The 10,288-nt window shown below is 32.7% G+C and overlaps 1 long non-coding RNA gene across 1 annotated transcript; it reads right to left on the bottom strand.

Annotated features, from left to right (window-relative positions):
- Positions 1 to 2,722: 2,722 nt before the first annotated feature.
- LOC124900819 (uncharacterized) lies at positions 2,723 to 9,568 on the bottom strand. Its single transcript, XR_007058397.1, has 2 exons — positions 4,280 to 9,568; positions 2,723 to 3,268 (listed from the first exon to the last, which is right to left on the bottom strand). It is a non-coding gene; the product is annotated as an uncharacterized LOC124900819 (long non-coding RNA).
- Positions 9,569 to 10,288: the final 720 nt, after the last annotated feature.

The following is a 10,288-nucleotide window of genomic DNA, read 5'->3' as shown; positions in this document are numbered from 1 at the left end:
TTCAAAACCCCAGGACCCAGTAGGCCGAGGGCTTTAGCAAGGCTCATCTTACTTTTTCTGTTTGTCTTCTGTGACATATCTTGCTTATCACTTTTTATAACTTATCTATCAATGCCATGGTTTTGGAATTTGGATAGGGGAAGTTGCTCAAGGTATGACCAAAAGTAGTATAATCTTTAAAAACAGATCCAGAATTAACTCTTTTTCATATTTAAGAAATGTTGATTCATAAGGTATTCATATTTTTCCAATTTATATAATATTGTAAGCATCTAATAGCATATTTTAGTTTATTATATGCTTCATTATGTTGCAATAGAACATAATCCTTGATTACGTTGTATGGAAATTTCAACTGATTACACTTCTTTGCAACCTTGTCAGTATAGGTCACACACATTTATTTTTGCAATTGCTGTTTGCAAGATCACTATCTGCGGTTCCCCCAAATCCCAGGAAATATTTTAGATTCTTTATTTACATATACAAACATACACATACATATGCAAACACCCTTTAGTGTTGACATCTTTTAAAATATATAATTTTCTCATCTGAAATGTTGTCATGCTTTTAACTTATTCAGATTATCTTCTATTTATTTATTTTTTACATGGAGAACAACAAAATCACATAGTTAGATGGATGAATGGATGTATAGAGAAATTTGTTTCTTGAGTTACTTCAAGGTGATTTATGTAAATTATTTAGCTTTAAGCTTTTTAAATATTATGTCATTTAAGAAAAGAATATACATAAAAATATGTAATTTTATATATATTTTGTATCAGCACTAATATTATGTATTATTAATTTCCTTAATTTTTCGATTTTGAGTTCTTAAGTCACTAATGATATTAGCTGCCAAAATGATGATTTAATCTCTTTTCTAATTGCTTCAAATTTTAGTGCAGTTTTCTTGCTCTATTTTATTTGCTCCCTTCAGAAAGAAATACAATAAAAGTTGTGAGAGCAAAGGTTGTTTCCCTTTATCTTACTTGAAGAGAATGTCTCTACTGTCAATTTACTGTGAAACATGACAGAGTATTTTTTATGTTAGTTGGTTTTTCCCTCCTGGTTAATTATTTCTGTTCAATATTTGCTGCTTTAAATTAAAAATGAATCATAAAAGATTTTAAATGATAAAAGCTCTAATACATGACTATTATCAAAATCACAAATTTATGCTTATGATGAGATATAACTCCTGTGTCTTTATGTGCCAGATAGTGTTCTAAAGTCTTGAAATATTTTAACATATTAAATCTCATAAAACTTCCTTGAAGTGAGTACAGGTATTACCCATGCATAAGGAAAGACAACTGAGGCACAGGCAAGTAAATTCTCCAAGGTGATAGAGTCCCCAAGTAATCGGCTGGGATATGTCCTTGTGATTAATTAGGGGTCATGCTTTCTAAAAATTTATATATATAAATGAAATTTTGTGAAGTATGAGTTAAATTTATTATAAATGACTTAAATTAGAATGATTATTTTAATTTTAGTTGCTTTAGTTTTTTCATAAAGGTACAATTAGGAAACTGGTGACTTTTTCATTTGATTATAGAAGTCCTATATGCAAGTTCAAATATAGAAAATGTTCAAATTCATTAAGTTACATTGTTTCGGAAAGAAGACATTTTCAAGACATGAAATAATGCTGATTTCCTCTCTCTTGAAAGTACAATCATTGTTTAAATCGCCCAAGGGCTCACTAGCCAGATCTACCTTTGGGATTTCAGATATTTAAGTTTCTGTACAATTTCACCATGATCTGGTCCACTGTCAATTCATAATAAGTGCTTTTTGGCACTGGACAAATAAATCCCTTTAGGGAAATAAAGAGAAAGCAAAAGTTAAAAATTAAGAAAAACAGTCTGATTATTCTTGAAATATTTCCAAGTAATTCATGCCAGAACTGCCTTACCAACATACTTGTCTCTCAAACCATATGAAGCCATCCCTTTCAGCTTGCTGACATTTCCAATACTTTAATTGGGACACCAACTCATTATACTTTGCTTTAGGGATCCAATAGTACCTATGGAACGTTTTAAATTGAATAGCCCTCAGGCCAGTTCCTCCACTGTGCCCAAGTGATAATTGATGAATATGCTTGTCTTAATTCTTTATTTTAAATTGCTCCTTTTCTCTTTTGCTCCTCATATTTAATTTTAAATTATTTCCTGCATCATTCCATTAGAGAGTTGATATCAGATTGCTAGTTCTTAGGCATTATACTACTTAACTTTAGTTAAGTGCTATGTTAAAAAAAAAAAGAAAGAAAGACAATAAGGTTCTTAATTCTACAAAGATGTAAAGAGGAATACCTCCTACATATAAATGTCTTAATAATCATCAAATGACCTTGTTAACTTAGATGATTGTCAAATAAGCCATGAAAAATGCAATGATATCTTGTTAATGCTTCTGAAAATATCTAAAAAGTGATTAAATTCTAATGAACTTAGTAAGATTTCCTAATACAAAATCAAAACCAAAAAAAAAAAGTCTCGTTTGAAACAGTAATAAAGCAAGGGAATAAAACAGATGATAAGTGACAAAAACTCAAGGGAAATATCTTCATATACAAAAAAAAAAAGAATCTAATTTAGAAAAAATATCAGCATATTTTCTAATGTTTTCTTAATAATTATAACTATTTTTTCTAAGAAATTCATTCTGAGCAAAGCCAAAATGAAGTTGATGTATGAGAAAAATGACCAGTTTAAAACATTTTATTATTTTCCAGGATTATATAGTTGATTACATACACACTAGAAGACATAAAAATATTCAAACCAGCACTGATCATAATATCAAGAAGGAATCATACGCCATGGACAGGAGAATAGATAGACTGTTTCATTTTCCCACAGCGAAGTGTTAAACAATAACAATTACAGCTATCTGTAATAATATGATTAAATATGAGGAACGAAATATTGGGCAAAAAAATGACTCTAAAGTTTACATGCAGAATAATATTTTCTAATAAATTTCAAAATAAGCAAATGTAAACGTTATATTTTTTAGATAAATATGTATATCCAGGAAAATTATAAAAAAGCAATGGATTGATAAACACAAAATCAAGATGATGGCTATGGGGAATGGAGCACGCACGGAACGGTAAAACGAAAAGAGCATGCCAGCAGGCCGAAGTCATCCGTCAGGTTCCAACTGAATTAAATTTAAAGAAACCATGCATTGTCCAATGGTGAATACATATTAAAAACAAGATCTGAATTAAATCAATTGTATGCATCTGAAATAAAAAAGAAAAATAATTATTGCCAAATGTGAAGAGAAAAATTGCAAACCATGCTCTGAAATTGAAGTCACTGAGTTTCTATAGATAATAATCTTAACGCCAATGCAGTTACTTAAAAACAAAATTAGACTTTTAGAATTTCAGAAATGGAAGATGCCTAAGAAATCACCTACCCAATCTCTTCATTTTCATGGTCAGAAAATAAGGATGGATGTCAGAGGGGGGATAAATTATGTTATCCCACGTTTCCCAAGTTCACACAAGATAATGATTAATGAAAGAAAAGAACATGTGGGATCTGTGTTGAGATATTAGAACTTCATGCATTATTAGCTGTAATTTTTCTAAGAAATTCCATCTTTCATGGAGTTGGGGTTTACCTTGCTACAAACCTCAAAGTCCATGCTACATACATAGAAGGAAGGTGCACTTTTTCTACTTAAAAAAGAAACAGGATGCGAGATTTAGAAACCATAACTGCATTCAAGGAATTCAGGTAATATGCGATTAATGACAATATTTACTGAAGAATCATTAAAATAGATAACAAAAGGTGTCCTAGAATATACTATATAATCTATACATTATTACTGTCCTCAGTTTGAAATTTCACATGGAGGAAACAGATTGAGAGCATAGAACTCTATCCCTTTTCCTTACTCTTCCCAGCAAAGATAACCAGCATATAGTTTAAATTGAGGGATTCTTAATTAGGGAAAAACCTTTGGTAAGTACACAGTAAGGTACAATTATGTGTGCAACTCTCTCTTTTAGGTGATGTGTAAAACAGAATAACTAAAATGAGAATTCTACCCTCAGCAAGGAGAATATACACTGTACTCCAATGAGGAAAATATATATGTGTATATTTTTATGTGTGTGGATGAAGATAAATAGCAAAGATTCATAGGAGAAATGGAAAAAGAACCATTTGTATTGAGAACAGGAAGAGATTCTGGTATGTTGAAACAGGCAAAATTTTAGAGAAAGCACATTCATGCTCACCTTTGAAAGAAACAGCAGTTGAGGCCAGGGGCTGTGGCTCACGCCTGTAATCCCAGCACTTTGGGAGGCCGAGGGGGGTGGATCACGAGGTCAGGAGATCGAGACCATCCTGGCTAACACGGTGAAACCCTGTCTCTACTAAAAATACAAAAAATTAGCTGAGCGTGGTGGCGGGCGCCTGTAGTCCCAGCTACTCGAGAGGCTGAGGCAGGAGAACGGCATGAATCAGGGAGGCGGAGCTTGCAGTGAGTCGAGATCGCGCCACTGCACTCGAGCCTGGGCAACAGAGCAAGACTCCGTCTCAAAAAAAAAGAAAAAGAAAAAGAAAAATTAAAAGAAAAAAAAGAAACAGAAGTTGAATACCTATCAATGAAAGAGCGCTATAAAATGGGAAAAGTAAAGCAGAAAGAGGCACAAAGATGGGGAACTGGATCATGCATACGAGCAAGAACAATGTAGTTTATTACAAGACCAACTACTGAAAGCATTCCCTATGTGCTATTGTGGCTTGAATCTCTGGGCATCAGATACTATTTCAGGTTTTTGAGGAAGCAATTGATACAGAAAGGACTTACTCCTTGAGATTAATGCAGTAAGAACTGAAGAATGAATAGACATTTCATAATAGAACAAAAACACAACAAATATAAGCCACCTAGCATATCTGAGACAAAATTTCAGAATAAGATATATTCTCATCTGCCCCCCCCCCCAAAAAAAATGAACTAACGACCCATTTCCAGCTCCATGATTCTATTTGAGTAGTTTAATATCCAGTGATATTAGCACAATTATTTCTTTCATGTCAACAAGTACTAAGTTTAAAACTAAGCACTGAAGAGGACAATTATCAAACTTACAGAAAGTGCTACAAATTTCTATGAATAAAGTCAAAGATGCTATAATCTTTTTAAAACTCATGCTGCTAACTCAAATTCATGTTATTACCATTGACTGTCTGGAAAATGGCTTTAAAAATATTTCCATAATTTTGAATGTAAAATATCCCAAATAATGGGAATTATCTTAGGAATACAATGTAGTTTTTTTAAAATTGGGTAACAAAATATTTAACAGTAAATCAAATTCCATTTGCACATGGCCAGCTCTTTCTTGCTTTTTTAAAATTTTATTTATTTTTAATTTTTTAATTTTAATTTTATTGTTTTAGGAACAGAATCTCGCTCTGTCACTCAGGTTGATGTGCAGTGGCATACCCCACTCCCAGCTGATTTTTCTGTTTTTGAAGATTATGAGATTTCACTCTGTTGCTCAGGCTGGCCTGGAATGCCTGGCTTCAAATGATCCTCCCACCTCAGCTCCCAAAGCCTTCTTTCTTTTTTATACATGGATATCCTTTATGACAAGGACAAATCCATCTTCAGCATTCCACAGTTGTTGAATGAAGGAAAAAAATGAATGGGAAATAAGTTGATTAATAAGCTAATAAGAGATAATCATAAGTAATAAGTTGATAAATTTTCATTTCTACGAATGATGTTCATTGCATATACTTGCTGAATAAAGCACTAATATTTTGTTCCTGTGACTTGGCACATTCTGCTCCCTCAATATTTTTTGTTTCCTGTCTCATCTTTTCCAGATTCAAATGCCTTTTCCTTCTTGAAAGATAACATCAGATAAATCTAATCCTTTCTATATGACTGGGAATTAATATTTTTTTCTTTTGCACTACGACAGCACTTTATCTGTAGTATTGCCTTGAACTGTGATTAGGGGTGTAAATGTTTTTCAGACTGCAAATTATTTAAGCACAATAAATCTCACATTCACATGTGTTCCCTCTGTCACCTACCACAGTGAAGTTTTCCAGTGAGGGAGTCGTGTGTATGTGTGCCTGTGTATGTGAGAGCACAAACACATACACAGGAATAGATACCTATGTAAAAGTTAGCTCTTATGCATATAAATACATATATATTGATTTCATTATATACACTAATCAAAACCACAGCCAAATGTATCTGATTTAGATACTGATGTGCAGATTGGACTAGATGAATCTTAGATCCCTATCAGCTCCAAATTTCCACGATTATTAAGAAAAACTGCATATATCCATAGTTTCTCAATACTGACCAAACAGGACAATCAATAATAAAATACTTTCAAAATAAAGACTTCTAGGTCACTTTCCTGGAGATGATGAGGTAGTAAGTCTGGAATAGTTCCTGATTTTTTTAAACTAGGACTTGAAATGTACCCAACGCTTAGACAGGATAATACTGGCGTAAAGGATACCCTAACTACACTGACTTGATCATCACACATTCTATGCATGTAATAACATTTCACATATACCCCATAAATATGGACAAATATAATGTAGCAAAAAATAAAATAAAAAAATTAAAACCTTGCAGAATCTATTGTACCTTGCAGCCAGGATTCATAACCACTGCCATATATGCACTGTAGACATATTACATGTCTGTGATACTTTGTGAGCTTCTCATTAATTTTACATTGACTAACCCATAGTTCTTGCATATTCTAAGGGTAAATATAAATTTTCCCTCTGAATAATTTCTTATTTATAAGATGCTTAAGGCTAGATAAGAGTAGTTTAAGTGGTATAAATATGCTTTCTGCTGAAAGAAAAAAGAAAGTGTACTCAATTACATTTTATACTTCTTCAGTATAAAATCTATCAAACTTTCATAGCTGGAGTGCCCTTGTGTGCTCTGAGTCTGACTTGGAGAATTTATGGGAGTAATTTTATTTCATTTTTTTAAATCTAGATATATCTTCAAAAGAGATTGAGGAAGTTCAAGAATATAAATATGTAGACACTTATTTCAAAAACCACATATCTGTATCTGCTTATATAGCTTTGACCAATATTTAGTTTATGTTATGCATATGTATTATGAGTTCTATAATAACATTACAGCCTTTAGGATTTTCCCTTCAAATTATTAAAATGTTTTATAATGAATGCTCTTGCATATTATCACAAAATATCACATATATTTGAAATATTCGCTGGGTCCTCTTAAAGCAAGACCATTGTCTTTTTGACTAGAAAATGATTATGTAATGGATATACATAGATCTCTATAAAATATGAATGCTCTTTTCTAAAGTTCAGACATTGTTCTTAACCAATAGGAATATTTTTCATCACTGTGGTCACCAGATGGTGGTTCACTGCCAGATTTACTAGAGAGTTAAATACATGCATTCTGAGACAATATTCCCAAGGCAGTCTCTTTTTCATCTCTTCACTTCCTAATTTCCATCCCTTTCAGGTGGAAACTGCTTTCAAAAAAAGATAATTGGTTGTGCTTTTCAGCACTGAAGTGTTTGCTTCAGGTTAAGACTGTCTTTTAAATTAAAACAATTTAAATTAAAACAATACCCTAACTTTTCCTCTCCTTCTATCTCATCATTTGTAAATGTTATTTCATGAATTTCTTTGTATTATTTTCCACGAATCCCAAAGCTTCTCTGCCTCTGCATATTACATTTATTTAATGTTTTTATTTTACTTCTTTCCTGCTCTCACTCTAATTCCGGTTCTTGCTAAAGAAATGCTCTGCAGCATAGTGTATAAAACTCAGCATTATAGCTTAAAGTCTCCTCATAAATGACAGGAAAACCATTCAGGAAAACAAAACACTTTGGACAATAATTCCTTCATCTGCAATGAGATCTGCAAAAAGGATAGAATAGCAACATTCTACAAGTATTCTTCCCACATGATTGTTGTATGGATGTGTTTGATTTTTACTATATTTGGAATTTAAAAGTTATTCTTCATAAATGTATATGTATCACCATGCCCTTCAATTAGAACTTTCTTTCTCCTGTCTACCCTTTTTTGTTCTGTTTTTCTACTTAGGATTTTGTGACTTTTACAATATTATATTATGGTGTCTGTATCTTAGGAACTTCATCTTGTTCTGACACCATTCTCCGTCTGCAGAACAGGATGTCTCTATTCTCATTGTACTTTTGCCCAGGAATGCAAGGAACGGTGGTATTAATCAATACAATGAGGAAAGAAGGAAGAAAAATAATTGGAAAAGAGGTCTTTGATTTTGGACATCTTGACTCTGAGATCTCTAATCTATGTAGACATTGTTAGTAACCCAACAGAAGTACAATTAAGGAACATTATCCCTACCACTAATAACAGATGTACTCTTCAAGAAGGACAGTCATCTTTCTTTATTCCTTAGAATGCCAATGCCTGTTAACTATCAGATTTCTAATAGAAATTCTGGCCAAGTAGAAAGATCCCACAGCATGAACATGGGGTAAAGGTAGATTATATGAAATCACTGATGACGCCCAAGAGGTAGTTTCTGTCCTAAAACAGGGGTCAGGTTTTAAGCATAATAACAAATAAAAGATGAGAAATGATGAATTCCAGAAATAAAAATGTGCAATAATTGTTGTTTAGCCCACAAGCAGACACAAAAGTTAACGTTAATTCTTGTTCAGCAATCTTTTAAATGCATGTGAGAAATCTATTAGTTTCCAGATCCTTTGGAGAAAGCAAGCAAGCCACAGATTTCTAGTAATAATATTTACTGCAGTCTATCCATATATTAAAACTAATAAAAATGAATGCAGGATGTGCTTCTGAGTGCAAATAAAAACATATTATCCTAGAGCTATCAAAAAGATAATAAATACCAGTGAGTTTCATTAACTCTTTAACTTATCAAATGTAAATTTATTAGCAAGTGGAATACAAATTGAAATAATTCTATTATATTAAAATGAATTTTACATCTTGATGATAGCTCTACCTGCTTAATTCATATTTTTTAACTTTTAAAATTTCTTAGTCTCCTTTAAGTCTGGCTATTTGATTACAAAAATAAAGTAAAACGATCTTAGGTATATTAATAAAGCATATATGATAACTATTCAGGAAAGAAAATGGCCAAGATATATTATATGTAATAGTTTAACATATTACATTTAGATACTGTCCAAATTTATGAGTGTGTTGAGTTCTAAAATTTAGTTTAAGATTTTGGCCGGGCGCTGTGGCTCACGCCTGTAATCCCAGCACTTTGGGAGGCCGAGGAGGGCAGATCGCGAGGTCAGGAGAACAAGACCATCCTGGCTAACATGGTGAAACCCCATCTCTACTAAAAGTACAAAAAATTAGCTGGGTGTGATGGCCCCTGTAGTCCCAGCTACTCGAGAGGCTGAGGCAGGAGAATGGCGTGAACCAGGGAGGCAGAGCTTGCAGTGAGCCGAGATCGCACCACTGCACTCCAGTCCGGGAGACAGAGCGAGACTCTGTGGCAAAAAAAAAAAAAAAAAAAAAAAAAAGATTTTATATGGAGTTTTTAATCTATTTTCTGATAAATTTTTATTGTGATCATGCAGCAAATGCCACTTGCTTCATTCATTTATGTAAAAAATTTATATTCACTATATTTTCCAAGTCCTGTGTTAGTGCTGAAAATACAACCATGTGCAAGATTGGCATGATACCTTGTATGCCATTTGCTAAGGTATTATTGGCATATTAATAAAATAATACATAGCTATTTTAATATCTGATGATATATAAAATACCGTTATAATAAAATATGCTCAAAGTTACATTTTGAAATGCCATAAGGACGTTCATTCAAATGCAAAATCTGACCAAAGATTGCCTGTTTAGGTGATAATTAGAACACTACTGGGTAACGGAAATTGAGACTCCCAGGGTTCTATGGGATTCTAGCTCTTTCAAAGTTAATGACAAGAATGAAAAATAAATTTTAACATCTTAGTAAAATATGAGAATATAGTATATTCTTTTTGGTCTCCCTACATAACTCAGTGATCCCTATTCTATGAAAAATGGGCTTCCCTCTTCCGTGGATGGATGATGGCCCCCATGACTCCATGATTACCGCCTTTTGCCATCATCAATTTGATTAGAGATGAAGAAGTAAATAAACTGGAAAGCAAATTCTAAGCAACTCTAGATAATCAGGTACTCTGTCAGGAAAACAGAAGTCTTTAAGACTG

Source organism: Homo sapiens, chromosome 4, assembly GCF_000001405.40.
Source record: "Homo sapiens chromosome 4, GRCh38.p14 Primary Assembly".
In the NCBI taxonomy this organism is placed as follows: domain Eukaryota; kingdom Metazoa; phylum Chordata; class Mammalia; order Primates; family Hominidae; genus Homo; species Homo sapiens.
Note: the sequence above shows the minus strand (reverse complement) of the source record. Positions and strands in the feature narration are given on the sequence as shown.